General features: G+C 37.2%; 1 long non-coding RNA gene across 2 annotated transcripts in view; it reads left to right on the forward strand.

Moving 5' to 3' along the window:
* The window catches only part of LOC105370302 (uncharacterized), a 112,367-nt gene that overhangs the window by 17,981 nt on the left and 77,968 nt on the right, over positions 1-16,418 (forward strand). For both annotated transcript variants that reach the window (XR_931625.3, XR_001749950.1), the window contains exons 3-4: positions 4,109-4,271; positions 5,188-5,266. This is a non-coding gene — a long non-coding RNA (uncharacterized LOC105370302). The remainder of the gene's footprint in view (positions 1-4,108; positions 4,272-5,187; positions 5,267-16,418) is intronic.

Raw genomic sequence — 16,418 nt, forward strand, 5'->3', positions numbered from 1 at the left:
GCTCTGGTAAGGGTTATTCATTCTACTTTTTGGGGGGATGTACCAGGGGGAAGTGCAGGGGCTTTGATTATTTGTTCCAGAGTGGTCAGTGTATACCCTGCTCAATGGTGTCTATTTTTCATGAAACTGCTGTCATCGGTGAACAATTTCTAGTCTGGAGTTGTTATCAGCTGATCACACAAGTCTAGGTGGCTGGAATAAACGACTTGATTTATTTATAAACTGTTATGCTTAGGCTCTGTGTCTTGCACTGAACTGCCAAGGAGCAGTGTTGTGGGGATTAGGGTTGCAGTGGTTTGGAGGGTGGTATTAGGATTATCCAGAAAAATGGCCTGACATTTGCCCATACGCCCAGCAGTTATCTCCTTTTTTTAAATAGGGTTAACACTTGATGGGGAACATACACAGTTATGGGTTGTCGTAGAGTACATTTGTTGGTTTCTTGTAATAAGTCACATGTGGCAGCTACTGCCCTCTGGCAGGGAGGCCATCCTTTGGCTGTTTATTCTGTTTCAAAAAATATACAATAGGTTACAGTTTTTCCCCAAGTTTCTGGGTCAGAATTCCTAGTTCAATTCTCTTTTTTAATGTACTTACAGGGGAAAGGGCTTTGGGGGTCAGGGAGCCCCAAGGCAAACACTAATGTTAATTTTTTATTTATATTATAAAATGTATTTTGGCATTTCATTGTCTAATGCAAGGGTTCTGACCCAGTCATTTTAAAGCATCATACAAGGGTTTTGCTGTGAGTCCAAAGTTAGAAATCTAAATGTCAAAAAAAGTGAACCATCCCCAAGAATTCTCTTACTTGTTTCTGTTTTGGGGAGGGCTTTAATGGCAGCTACTGCCTGTTTCTTATCAGTCATAAGACTGCTTACCTTGTTGTAGGTGGAACCCCAAGTTGACGATGTCTTTTTTGCATATTTGGACCTTACGTGGGGCCACTTTATAACCCCATTCAGCCAGGTTATTTAAATCCAGTAATGTGTTTTCCAGGAAGTCTTTATAAGTGGGGCTGGCAATTAGTAAGCCATATACACACTGTAATACTACCCTTCGGTTTAACTGTAGGTCACTCAGATTTTTAGCCGAAATTTCCCCGAAAATGGTGGGGGCATTTTTAAATCCTTGGAGTAATATAGCATAGTAATATTGGAAAATTGTCTTAGCTTTTGGATCATGCCATTTAAAGGCAAACAGGAATTGGGGTTTTCTTTAACTGGTATGCAGAAGACAGTATCTTTGAAGTCTCATACTGAGAACCAGCCATAATCTCCTGGGATAATAGTGACTTGGGTGTATGGGTTATGTACTGTTGGATGGATATCTTGAATGATATCATTAATTGTTCTTGAGCATTGCACAAATTGATATTCATTTGAATGTCGTTATTTTACTGGGAAAATAGGAGTATTGGATAGAGAGAGACATGGTTGAATAAGCTCATACTTCGAAAGTAATACCTTTGTAATACTGGCAGAGTGCCTTCTAATGCTTCCCTTTTCAGAGGATGCTGCTTTCTTGTTTGTTTGTTTGTTTTTATGTGGGATTGTATCTCCTTCTTTTAATGTAATGCAGACCATCTGAACTCTAGTAGCTCATCTGGATTCTCCATCGGCCCAAACAGTATTGCTTATTCCATAGTAGACTTCAGGTGGAAACAATTCTTGGGTCTTGTTTTTAGGCTGAGTCATCAATGTCTGCAAACACAAGGCCTTTTTGGGTGGGATCTGGGTCCTTAGATGTTGTTTTTTAGGAGAAAATTTTACTTAAGCATTTAGTTTAGCATAGTAATTGTCATTCCAACGACAGAACAGGGCAATTAGGCATATTTTAAAAAAACTAGGTCTTAACTTTATGTCTCCCAATTTGGATTCTAAAGGCTGAGGGAAAGGTATTTGCTCCAGTTTTCTGTTGACTCCTGCCACTGGCACTATATCTTGTGTACTTTTAGTTAATTTATTATTTAAACTGAAGTTGCTTCAGTATTAACTAAGAAGTCGATTATTTTATACTTCAATGTCATTCGTACCCAGGGCTTCTGTGGGGAAATGATCATTGGCTCCATTATATCAAGGAAAACACCTGAGCCTCCTCAGTCTTATCAGAGCCACAATCTACTTGTCTGTTTCTTTGCTTCCTATTTTTTTTTTCTTTTTCTCTCTTATCCTTTTTCTACTGTCATCTTTCCCTTTTAGCCTGTAGCAATCATTCTTTTAATGCCCAGATCCCCAGCAGTAGGCACATTGATCTTTGCCTGGGAGTCCTATTCTGTTTTGTCCCTTACTCTTCTCAGGCCCTCTTTTATTTTTCTGAATGCTTTCTACAAGAGTGGGCACTTGTCTGGCTCTTGTTTTTCTGGCATTGAAAAGTTTGTAAGCAATTTCTACCAATAGAGAAGGGTTTATTCTTTCTGATTTTTTCAATTTCCTTTTGATACCTGAAGTGCTTTGGCTGATGAAAGTCAGATTGACTGTCCAAATATTTTCTGGGGCCTCTAGATCCATACCTGAGTATTTTTTTATAAGCCCGATATATTCGTTCCAGCCAAGAGGCTGAATTTTCATTAGCCTCCTGTTGGAGATCATGGATTTTGCTGATGCTACGCTTCTCGGGTACTCCTTTACTCAGTCCCATCAAAACATGTTTTTAGTAGTATTCTAGTCTTGGCATTCCCCATTGTTATGGTCGCAATTGAGCTCCATTAAGAGAGTCGTCCCTGTGGGGGATCAGGGGTCCTAGAAGGGTCTTTCTGAAGTAGCTGCCTGACCTCATCATTGGCTTTGTCTAGGACTTGTCTCCTTTTACCAGCCATTATCATGAAATTTAATGGTGTTTGAATGTCCACCTAAGTGAGGAAATATGTGGAGAATATACTGGTACATAATTCAGCCATGTGCTATGGGTCATCTCTGTAGGAAGGGCTTATATTATTTTTAGTTTACTAAGTCTAAAGTGGAGAAAGGTGAATGTAATCCCCAAAATCCCATGGGTTGGCCATGTGCATTTAACTCCTGTTGGATCTTAAAAGGGGAGACCCATTGGCCTTGTGCATTTAAGACCCAGTCAGGTCTTAAAAGAGGAGACTGTCTCCAGCCTGCTTGCATAATGTCGAGGGGACACTGCTTCTTGTAAATATGGATTATTTAAATAGTCTTCTGGGGGAGTGGGTAGAGGAAGGAGCAGTTCAGTGTACAACGCTGGCAGGGTCAGCGTGGGAACCTGCACAGGTGCCAGAGCAGGCAGCACCAGGGAAGGCACTTGCAACACCACAGCATCATTTCCCTGTGGCGAGTTTAAGGCTAACAAAATTATCCTATCCTCCTGCTTCTGTTGGGATGATCAGACCCAACACCAGGTCATGGGGGCAACAAAGTCCGACAGAGCCAAAGGATTGAGAAAAAGACAGTTTCAGAAGTAAAGTGGGACCAGGGGGCCATCGCTAGTGTATGGAAGCTGCTAAGGCCCCAAGCTCTGGGAGCCCACACTATTTATTGGTAATTCAACATAGAAACAGGTGGTGAGAATGTGGGGCGTCAAAAGGGCAGGCACATGATCTACAGCTGTGACGGTTTAGCATTTATATGGAACATGTTCTTCTACTCGAGATAATGGGAATACAATCGATCTGGGAGCCTAGGAAGGCTAGAAGCAAGGAGCCGGCAAGTCTAGACACATTCCAGAGGACATTATGTCAGACACGCAAGCCTTGCCTCAGTTTTTTTCTCAACACTTGGCTTTTTCCCAACATACTTCTTTTTCCCTTCTGTATCTTCCTCAGGCAGTAGAGGCCAATGAGATTTCACTTTATGCAGTCCTCTTTGCACCACTAACTGGGAACCTTTCTGGGAAGCATCTTTATTACATGATAGAATAAACACGTGAGCATAAGTATTTTTTTCCATTTACCTGATCTTTGATAAAACTGTTCAAGCTGTAAGACTGTATAAAAGTTCAAAAACCCTAAAGGCCACCTCTCTTCTAACACATGCATCTGCCATGTTGTATTACAACAAAATGCCATTTTTTTTGTTGTTGTTTTTTCCTTTGTCCCAAGGTCATAGCTATAGGCTGACCAGTTAGCTAATATGCTTTTTCTTTGAGACAGAATCTACAAAATACCTCCCATGGTAACAAGAAAACAACACACAATCAAAACAAATGAAGTGCTTCCCAAACACCATCTTCTTCAAGGGAGGAGACCAGCACGGAGTCACTACAAGTTGTTTCTTCTACCAACGGTACCACAAATGGCCCCAAAGGCCCAAATGGTAAGGAAAGAGGACCCCTGGTGTTCACACTGGTGGATGTAGCTTGTTATAGAGCTGGTCAGCTCATCTAGAGAGCTTGTTACCATTTACCAGCTCGAAGTGAAAATAGGCAGCTGGCGTCAATTGAGGGAAAGAAGGGCGTTTCCCCAAAGTGTAAAAGAGTCTTGGCAGTTTGCCTGTGTCAGGCGTGGCCAACCACAAGTAGCTGGTGTTACTGAAGGCTTGCTGCTAACCTCTGGTAGCAAGAGAGGGTTAGCCCATACGTGCTGCCACAGTCAACTGCTCCACCCATTGGGAATCTAAATGAGCCTCTCGGTAACCTGAACAAGGTAGCCCTGGTGCACTGCTGCGGCCAATTGCTTCATCTGTTGGGAGCTGAGCAAACAGCTCAGGGAGCATGAGACTCCGGACTAGCTCACCAAATATTGTAACCAAACTCAGGTTCGGGACACTTGACACCTGAACAACCAATGCTCAAGAGACAAGTGTTGGTAAGAAGGAAAGTTAGCTTTATTAGGGAAGCAGGCAAGTTGGGAAATTAGTGACCTTGTTTCAAGACTACCTCTCTGAATTGTAGCTCTGGACCAAGAGTTTTTACGGGAAATCAGGATAAGTGTAAGTCATAATCAGAGTGTCCTTGTGGAGGAGCTACGTGTGCAATCTCAGGCAGGCAGTCAGTCCTTGCTGTCTTGGTCTATGTCTTGGGACCTTTGCTGGCATTGTTAGGCTGTTTTTATCTAGTTGTGGCTAAAACTGCTGGTCAGTCTGTTGCCGGAATTTCTGGTCAGCATATTTCCCTTTTATTTATGTTGAAGGTCCTATTGTTCTGAGATTGTTATATTCTTAATGAGTAATCTACAAACTTAAGCAAAGAAGTAATTAAAACTCAAGCAAATTTTTTCCTGTAACATGGCAGGGATTCAAAATGGAGTCAGTGCTGTTACAATAAGATCTTCTACTCAATAAAGAAGCAAAAGTACTCACAGCAGAGTGGGGTAAGTGAAGAAAAATAAAATTATTTCTTATTTTTGTTTTTTGTATGTATCCCTAAAGTTCAAACTGTTCAGAAATTGTTATAAAGTTAACTCAAAAGAAATTCAGTAAATGATTTTGTGTTCTATTGCTTCAATTATTTGAATTGATTGCATACTTTTCATGAACCAGGTTTTAAAAATTTTCTGTTTCTTTATAAATCACATGGAAAGTGCACACTCAGACTGTTTAGTACAAAGAGCATTCAATTAGAAGTCCGAAAACAAGTGGGTGAACTCTAATGCAGTGTTTAAGACGATGTCTGGTCTTTGATATCATTAAACTTCCCTCAGTCTAAGTTTCTATATCTTAAAAAATAAAGATATTTAGTGTAGTAAATTTTCATTGCTAACAATTCAAAATTATTTATTTACCTAACATATCTAATAATGCTGAATAAATAACACTAAGCAATTATAAAACTAAAAATCGATTTTAAATATGTGGTTTCATTAATTTTATATATTTATGATTAAAAATTACTGTTTATGAGTATTGAAATTAAAGTTAATCATCGAATATTTTGGTAAGATAATGTTTGAGTATTACTTTATAGTTATTGAAAGAAAACATATAAATGTAGACTTTAATTCCCATAAAAGGAAAATATAACCACATGAACATAATTGAGAAATTAATAGAATATATTTTAATGTAGTAAAACAGTGTAAGTCACATCAATGAACAGTATGAGATTACTTCAAAATAGGTTGTAAAGAATAGACATAAGAATTTACATACAAAATAGAATGGATTAATCACAGAAGGCATATGAAGGTTTTCCTTGAGAGAGGCCACAGTTTGGCATTGACAAAGATGAGTGAAATAAAGCACTACGAGTAGAAAAGCATGGAAGCTTGTAAGCCAGGTGTATGTTATGAGTATTTTTAATTAGTTTATTTATTTATTTATTTACAGTTTAAGTTTAGTAACATGGGCAGTTCTGGTTCTACCTATGCTGGAAAAATGAACATCAGAATTTCCCCTACTACCATAAACAATGATAAAACTAAACCCGTCATGGAAAACAACTGTTTTCAGGTCTTGGACAACAAATATTGCAAGTCTTTGATTCATTTGATAAGGGAAATATATAATGGGAGCTCCACATGCCTGGGCTTTCTGCCTTAGAACCAATTTCATACAACAGCACAGAGGGGTGAAATCCTAACAGATTGGCAATTCCACTGGCATAAAAAGCATGTGGCAGAGATTAGTACTGTGGAGATTGCTCAAATATGCAAATCAGGATTCTGAAGAGAGCAAAAAGGGAGCACACTAGAATCTGCATAGAAGTCTCTCCAAGCATTTGTCCAAGTACATAGCTGTATATGTACAAAACAAAATAAAATGTGATCTCTGGAAGAATCAGCTACTGAAGAACTGTGAGTTAAATGGACATTCAGAAGTTCACATAATTCTAGGAGACACAGAAGTTACAACCATTCAGTGTTTAGAAATTTCACAAAAAGCTCACTGAAGCAGTTGAGACGACAAATAGGCCAAACATCTGAAGTGACCTAATCTTGCTCCAGAATAAGAACAATTCTAACATGCTCTAAGAATCACAAAACAAAACTCCTAAAACATCATTTTGAGCAGTCAGTAAATTAATTGCTTTATGAATTTAAAAAAGAATACTTTCCTTAGAAGGACAACATAATTTAAAGTCTCATCAATGTAAAATTTATGATGTCAGCATAAAACTTAAATATATATATATACACACACACACACACACAAAGCGGCAGAAGAGTCTGAAGCATAAATAGAAGAAAAACCCCATAGAAATATATCTAAATGTTGGATTTGGCTGACAATATCTTAGAAGAGCTATTGTAAATATATTCAGTGATTTGAAGTAACAGATGAACATTATATTGAAATAGATGAAAAACGTCGAGGAGAAAGTTGGAAGTATAAAAAAATGAAAATTATAGAACTTGAAAATTCCCAGTATTTTTTAGAAAATTATCAGATAGGCATAAAAAGTAGATGGGATACTTTAGAAGAAAACATCTGTAAACTAGAAGATGGGTCAATAGAAAATGTTAAAACTGAAGCACAGATGGGGAAAAAGAAAAATGAATAAGACCTCATGTTCAGTAGTCCAACAAAAAATATTTCATACATATATGTAAAAGTCATCCCAGAAAGAAAAAAGAGGGGAAAGGGGTTGTGCATTGTTTCAACAGACTTGGATAAAGCTAAGAATTAAATAGTTACTACCATTTTTATTATCATTTATCCTGAGTCAGCAGCCACTGAATATATGGCTTGAATATTGTATTAGTATGTGTGAAAGATGTTTCACATTATGTTTTGAAAGTATTGCATTTCTGTATGTTTGTCTTATGCAAGTTTTGTACTACAGTTAGGATAATATTTGTATGAAAATATAGAGAAGATATGTAGTGTTTTATTACCTACTTGTTAAATATTACAAGTGACAAGAAAATAACACACATAAGTTATTCTATATAATCTATAAATATTACAAGAGACAAGAGTGACAAGAAGCATAAGTTATTCTATATAATCTATATTCTCTATTTTTATAATATTTATATATTATATACCTAGATTTCTATATATAGATGTCTATACTTATATACATATATCTATAAATCTATCTTGCTGTATATCTATATAATTTATAAGCACATATAATCTACTCTGATTATATTTTAGGATTTTGTATACAATTTAAAGTATTTTTAGGGTCATTTTTAATTATGAACATTTTAACAATTTGATTCAGCAATTCCACATCTAAATATTTACCCAAAATAATTGAAATCAAGGTTTTGAAGAAGTATTAGTATTCCTATACATATTGCAGTACTATTTATAATGGCCAAGATATGGAAACAAACTAAATGTCCACTGGTAGATGAGTAGATAAAAATAGTGTGATATATGCATATAAGAGAGTATGACTCAGCCTTAAAACAGAAGAAAATTCTGCAGTATGTGACAATGTGAATGAACTTTATAAGCATTACTCCAAGGGAATAGGCCAGACACAGAAAGAATCATAATGCCTAATTGCCCTTATATGAGGTATTTAAAATAGCCAAATTTATATAATCAAAGATTGGAATGGTGATTGCCAGGGGCTGGGAGAAAAGGTAAATGAGGAGTTAATAATCAATGGGCATAAAGTTTCAGTAAAGCAAGATGAATAAGCTCTAGAGGTCTATAAAATGTTGTACCTATAGTCAACAATAATGCATTATACAGTTAAAAATCTGTTAACAGGACACATTTCATGTTAAATGTTCTTACCACAATAACATAACATTTTTAACACAGAAGTATTTTTAAGCCAAAATTGTATCATCATGATTGGTAATTTCTTGGTAGTTTGTACTGTAGTTTTGCATACCTCTAGTCATAGTTCATTCCTTTTTTTTTTTTAATGTATTCTGCTTGCTCGTGTTGGAATACAGGCTCTACCACGTACTACTAACATGACCTTGGCTAAATTATTTAATTTCTCTAAGCCTCAATTCCCTTTTATATGAAATTGGAATAATAATATGTAATTTATAGGATTATATGGAGGATTACATAAGAAAATTAATGTAAAACTGCTTAGCCTAATGTCCAGTATAAAATATTATATATATAAAACTTCATTAACTAAATTCTAAAGTATTTTCACAAAATTCTAACTTTAAAAATACATTAAAAGTCATTTATTCATAATCATTAGCATTAATTTAGATGTTTGTTAATCATCTCTTCTTAAATACCTTGGGGATATTGTATGAACATTTGAAAATCCTCAGCTTTTGGTTAAAAACTAAATGCTTGTCCCACCACCACCACCACCACCACCACCACCACACACACACACACACACACACACACACTCTCTCACATACACACAATGTGACATGTCACATTCACATGGCAACATGAATGAACTTTAAGAACATTACTCTAAGGAAATAAGCCAGACACAAAAAGAATATTAATGCATAATTGCCCTTATATGAGGTATCTAAAATAGCCACATTTAAAGGATCAAAGATTGGAATGGTGATTGCCAGTTACTGGGAGAAAAGAGAAATGAGGAGTTACTAATCAATGGGCATAAAGGTTCAGTACACACAACCATTCGATCTTTACCCTCAAGCCTTCTGTTGCATCTGTGTTTTACAAAATCCACAGTATTACAGTCAGGAGATTATTTTTCTGTGATCTCTCTTGATACTACAACAATTATTTATTGACATTCCTGATTGACTTGCTATTATATATATATATATCTCTATATATACACACACAATTGTGTATATATATACACAATTGTATATATATACACACATATATATACATATGTATTATATATAAATATATTTTATATATACATATATTATGTATACACATATTTTATATATACATATATATTATATATACATATATTTTATATATACATATATTGTGTGTGTATATATACGTGTGTGTGTGTATATATATATATATATACACACACACACAATTAATATAGTATGACTGAAAAATATCGTTTCCTGGAGATCCTAGAATTGTCAAGCCTGATAGTCAACAAGGTTACCTAGGCTTTTCCCTGAAACCAGTGATAATGTCGAAAGTTTTCTCTTTCTCTCAATTTGTATCCATCTAATAACGTTTTCTTAATGAGGTTATTGAACATAGACATTTATAGATAACTTCAGAGTAAATGTGAGGAAACATTTATAAGGGAGAGCCTTTATAAGATTTGAGTGTTGGCATCCTCTCGGCTTTGTTTACTGCTATTTCCTTGGTAATATACAGAATACTTTTAATCTAAGAAAGATGAATAAATATTAACTACGAAAAAGAATTTGCAGAATTGTTGATTGTACGGCTACCTGCTCCTGACTTTCTTTTTCCTTCAACTTATCCTCTTTCATGGTTGAAACACAGATGGCCTTAGATATTTATACATAAAGGGATACTGCATGTCTTTTAGCTTCATAAATCTAATTCCTCCATTGAGTGGGAAGATCAAGTTCATTAGTGTTTAATTCTATTAATGAATTTATGTTTTTAAGTTTTATGCTCTGCCAACATATAGGTAACTTATATTTATTAAATCAAGCAGAGATTGGCATGAGTTGTGTAAAATTACTAAAATGGGTACTGTAGAATCACAAAGAAGGGTGTAAGCCATGATGATTGGGCAGGTATCATGGTGAGATTTTAGTATGTTATGCTTCAAATTTCCCCCCACCAAATTATATCATGCAATAGCTTTTTCCATGTTTAATCCCTTTAACACCCCCTACCACCACCTTTAACAATCAAACAAACCCTGAAACTGAGTTGAATATTTATCTGATTATTTCAGCTAAACATCCAACTCTGAGTTTTTATGGTCTCATCACAGATAAAGCATGTTCAATAGTTTACTCATATTTCATTTTTTTAATTATACTTTAAGTTCTAGGGTACAAGTGCACAATGTGCAGTTTGTTACATATTTATACATGTGCCATGTTGGTGTGCTGTACCCATTAACTCCTTGTTTACATTAGGTATAACTCCTAATGCTATCCCTCCTCCCTACCCCAACCCCACAACAGGCCCCGGTGTGTGATGTTCCCCTTCCTGTATCCATGTGTTCTCATTGTTCAATTCCCACCTATAAGTGAGAACATGTGGTGTTTGGTTTTTTGTCCTTGTGATAGTTTGCTGAGAATGATGGTTTCCAGCTTCATCCATGTCCCTACAAAGGACATGAACTCATTATTTTTCATGGCTGCTTAGTATTCCATGGTGTATATGTGCCACATTTTCTTAATCCAGTTTATCATTGTTGGACATTTGGGTTGGTTCCAAGTCTTTGCTATTGTGAATAGTGCCACAATAAATGCAATAAACATACATGTGCATGTGTCTTTATAGCAGCATGTTTTATAATCCTTTGGGTATATGCCCAGTAATGGGATGGCTGGGTCAAATGTTTTTTCTAGTTCTAGATCCTTGAGGAATCGCCGCACTGTCTTCCACAATGGTTGAACTAGTATACAGTCCCACCAACAGTGTAAAAGCATTCCTACTTTTCCACATCCTCTCCAGCACCTGTTGTTCCTGACTTTTTAATGATCGCCATTCTAACTGGTGTGAGATGGTATCTCATTGTGGTTTTGATTTGCATTTCTCTGATGGCCAGTGATGATGAGCATTTTTTCATGCGTCTGTTGGCTGCATAAATGTCTTCTTTTGAGAAGTGTCTGTTCATAACCTTTGCCCACTTTTTGATGGGGTTGATTCTTTCTTGTAAATTTGCTTAAGTTCTTCGTAGATTCTGGATATTAGCCCTTTGTCAGATGGGTAGATTGCAAAAATTTTCTCCCATTCTGTAGGTTGCCTCTTCACTCTGATGGTAGTTTCTTTTGCTGTGCGGAAGCTCTTTAGTTTAATTACATCTCATTTCTCTGTTTTGGTTTTTATTGCCATTGCTTTTGGTGTTTTAGTCATGAAGTCCTTGCCCATGCCTATATCCTGAATGGTATTGCCTAGGTTTTCTTCTAGGGTTTTTATGGTTTTAGGTCTAACATTGAAGTATTTAATCCATCTTGAATTAATTTTTGTGTAAGTTGTAAGGAAGTGATCCAGTTTCAGCTTTCTACATATGGCTAGCCAGTTTTCCCAGCACCATTCATTAAATAGGGAGTCTTTTCCCCATTTCTTGTTTTTGTCAGGTTTGTCAAAGATCAGATAGTTGTAGATGTGTAGTATTACTTCCGGGGGGCTCTATTCTGTTCCATTGGTCTATGTCTCTGTTTTGATACTAGTACCATGTTGTTTTGGTTACTGTAGCCTTGTAGTATAGTTTGAATCAGGTAGCGTGATGCCTCCAGCTTTGTTCTTTTGGCTTAGGATTGACTTGGCAATGCGGGCTCTTTTTTGGTTCCGTATGAAATTTAAAGTAGTTTTTTCCAATTCTGTGAAGAAAGTCATCAGTAGCTTGATGGGGATGGCATTGAATCTTTAAATTACCTTGGGCAGTATGGCCATTTTGACAATATTGATTCTTCCTATCCATGAGCATGAATGTTCTTCCATTTGTTTGTGTCCTCTTTAATTTCGTTAAGCAGTGGTTTGTAGTTCTCCTTGAAGAGGTCCTTCACATCCCTTGTAAGTTGGATTCCTAGGTATTTTATTCTCTTTGAAGCAATTGTGAATGGGAGTTCACTCATTATTTGGCTGTCTGTTTGTCTGTTATCGGTGTAGAGGAATGCTTGTGATTTTTGCACATTGATTTTGTATCCTGAGACTTTGCTGAAGTTGCTTATCAGCTTAAGGAGATTTTGGGCTGAGACGATGGGTTTTTCTAAATATACAATCATGCCATCTGCAAACAGGGACAATTTGACTTCCTCTTTTCCTAATTGAATGCCCTTTATTTCTTTCTCTTTCCTGATTGCCCTGGCCAGAACTTCCAATACTGTGTTGAATAGGAGTGGTGAGAGAGGGCATCCCTGTCTTGTGCCAGTTTTCAAAAGGAATGCTTCCAGTTTTTGCCCATTCAGTATGATATTGGCTGTGGGTTTGTCATAAATAGCTCTTATTATTTTGAGATGCATCCCATCAATACCTAGTTTATTGAGAGTTTTTAGCATGAAGGGCTGTTGAATTTTGTTGACAGCCTTTTCTGCATCTATTGAGATAATCATGTGGTTTTTGTCTTTGGTTCTGTTTATATGCTGGATTACATTTATTGATTTGTGTATGTTGAACCAGCCTTGCATCCCAGGGATGAAGCCAACTTGATCGTGGTGGGTAAGCTTTTAGATGTGCTGCTGGATTTGGTTTGCCAGTATCTTATTAATGATTTTGGCATCGATGTTCATCAGGCATATTGGTCTAAAATTCTCTCTTTTTGTTGTGTCTCTGCCAGGCTTTGGTATCAGGATGATGTTGGCCTCATAAAATGAATTAGGGAGGATTCCCTCTTTTTCTATTGATTGGAATAGTTTCAGAAGGAATGGTACCAGCTCCTCCTTGTACCTCTGGTAGAATTCAGCTGTGAATCTGTCTGCTCCTGGATTTTTTGGTTGGTAGGCTATTAATTATTGCCTCAATTTCAGAGCCTGTTATTTGTCTATTCAGAGATTCAACTTCTTCCTGGTTTAGTCTTGGGAGAGTGTATGTGTCCAGGAATTTATCAATTTATTCTAGATTTTCTAGTTTATTTGCGTAGAGGTGTTTATAGTAGTCTCTGATGGTAGTTTGTATTTCTGTGGGTTTGGTGGTGATATCCCCTTTATCTTTTTTTTATTGCGTCTACTTGATTCTTCTCTCTTTTCTTCTTTATTAGTCTTGCTAGTGGTCTATCAATTTTGTTGATCTTTTCAAAAAACCTGCTCCTGGATTCATTGCTTTTTTGAAGGGTTTTTTGTGTCTCTATCTCCTTCAGTTCTGCTCTGATCTTAGTTATTTCTTGCCTTCTGCTAGCTTTTGAATGTGTTTGCTCTTGCTTCTCTAGTTCTTTTAATTGTGATGTTAGGGTGTCAATTTTAGATCTTTCCTGCTGTCTCTTGTGGGCATTTATTGCTATAAATTTCCCTCTACACACTGCTTTAAATGTGTTTCAGAGATTCTGGTATGTTGTGTTTTTGTTCTCATTGGTTTCAAAGAACATATTTATTTCTGCCTTCATTTCGTTATGTGCCCAGTAGTCATTCAGGAGTATGTTGTTCAGTTTCCATGTAATTGAGCGGTTTTAAGTGAGTTTCTTAATCCTGAGTTCTAGTTTGATTGCACTGTGGTCTGAGAGACAGTTTGTTAAAATTTCTGTTCTTTTACATTTGCTGAGGAGGGCTTTACTTCCAACTATGTGGTCAATTTTGGAATAAGTGTGATGTGGTGCTGAGAAGAATGTATATTCTGTTGATTTGGGGTGGAGAGTTCTGTAGATATCTATTAGGTCTGCTTGGTGCAGAGCTGAGTTCAATTCCTGGATATCCTTGTTTACTTTCTGTCTCGTGTGTCTGTCTAATGTGACAGTGGGGTGTTAAAATCTCCCATTATTAATGTGTGAGAGTCTAAGTCTCTTTGTAGGTCTCTGAGGACTTGCTTTATGAATCTGGGTGCTTCTGTATTGGGTGCATATATATTTCGGTAGTTAGCTCTTCTTGTTAAATTGATCCCTTTACCATTATGTAATGGCCTTCTTTGTGTGTTTTGATCTTTGTTGGTTTAAAGTCTGTTTTATCAGAGACTAGAATTGCAACCCCTGCTTTTTTGTTGTTGCTTTTCATTTGCTTGGTAGATCTTCCTCTATCCCTTTATTTTGAGCCTATGTGTATCTCTGCATGTGAGATGGGTCTCCTGAATATGGCACATTGATTGGTCTTGACTCTTTATCCAATTTGCCAATCTGTGTCTTTTAATTGGAGCATTTAGCCCATTTACATTTAAGTTTAATATGGCTATGTGTGAATTTGATCCTGTCATTATGATGTTAGCTGGTTATTTTGCTCATTAGTTGCAGTTTCTTCCTAGCATTGATGGTCTTTACAATTTGGCATGTTTTCACAGTGGCTGGTACCAGTTGTTCCTTTCCATGTTTAGTGCTTCCTTCAGGAGCTCTTGTAAGGCAGGCCCAGTGGTGACAAAATCTCTCAGCATTTGTTTGTCTGTAAAGAATTTTATTTCTCCTTCACTTATGAAGCTTAGTTTGGCTGGTTATGAAATTCTGGGTTGAAAATTCTTTTCTTTAAGAATGTTGAATATTGGCCCCCACTCTTTTCTGGCTTGTAGAGTTTCTGCCGAGAGATCTGCTGTTAGTCTGAATTGCTTCCCTTCATTGGTGACCCGACCTTTCTCTCTGGCTGCCCTTAACATTTTTTCCTTCATTTCAACTTTGGTGAATCTGATAATTATTTGTCTTGGAGTTGCTCTTCTCGAGGAGTATCTTTGTGGCGTTCTCTGTATTTCCTGAATTTGAATGTTGGCCTGCCTCGCTAGGTTGGCGAAGTTCTCCTGGAAATCCTGAAGAGTGTTTTCCAACTTGGTTCCATTATCTCCGTCACTTTCAAGTACACCAGTCAGACGTAGATTTGGTCTTTTCACATAGTCCCGTATTTCTTGGAGGCTTTATTTGTTTCTTTTTACTCTTTTTTCTCTAAACTTCTCTTCTCGCTTCATTTCATTCATTTGATCTTCAATCACTGATACCCTTTCTTCTACTTGATCAAATTGGCTGCTGAAGCTCGTGCATGCATCATGTAGTTCTTGTGCCGTGGTTTTCAGCTCCATCAGGTCATTTAAGGACTTCTCTACACTGTTTATTCTAGTTAGCCATTCATCTTATCTTTTTTCAAGGTTTTTAGCTTTGCGATGGGTTCAAACATCCTCCTTTAGCTTGGAGAAGTTTGTTATTACCAATCGTCTGAAGCCGTCTTCTCTCAACTCATCAATGTCATTCTCCATCCAGCTTTATTCCGTTGCTGGTGAGGAGCTGCATTCTTTTGGAGGAGAAGAGGTGCTGTGATTTTTAGAATTTTCAGCTTTTCTGCCTGGGTTTCTCCCCATCTTTGTGGTTTTATCTACCTTTGGTCTTTGATGGTGACGTACAGATGGGATTTTAGTGTAGATGTCCTTTCTGTTTGTTAGTTTTCCTTCTTACAGTCAGCACCCTCAGCTACAGGTCTGTTGGAGTTTGCTGGAGGTACACTGCAGACCCTGTTTGCCTGGATATCACCAGCAGAGGCTGCAGAACAGCAAATATTGCAGAATGACAAATGTTGCTGTCTGATCCTTCTTCTGGAAGCTTTGTCTCATAGGGGCACCCAGCTGTATGAGGTGTCAGTTGGCCCTTACTGGGAGGTGTCTCCCAGTTAGGCTACTTGGGGGTCAGGGACCCACTTGAGGAGGCAGTCTGTCCGTTCTCAGATCTCAAACTCCATGCTGGGAGAAGCACTACTCTCTTCAAAGCTGTCAGACAGGGATGTTTAAGTCTGCAGAAGTTTCTGCTGCCTTTTGTTCAGCTATGCCCTGCCTCCAGAGGTGGAGTCTACAGAGGCAGGCAGGCCTCCTTGAGCTGCGGTGGGCTCCACCCAGTTTGAGCTTCCTGGCCACTTTGTTTACCTA

This window comes from Homo sapiens, chromosome 13 (assembly GCF_000001405.40).
Source record: "Homo sapiens chromosome 13, GRCh38.p14 Primary Assembly".
NCBI classification, from domain to species: domain Eukaryota; kingdom Metazoa; phylum Chordata; class Mammalia; order Primates; family Hominidae; genus Homo; species Homo sapiens.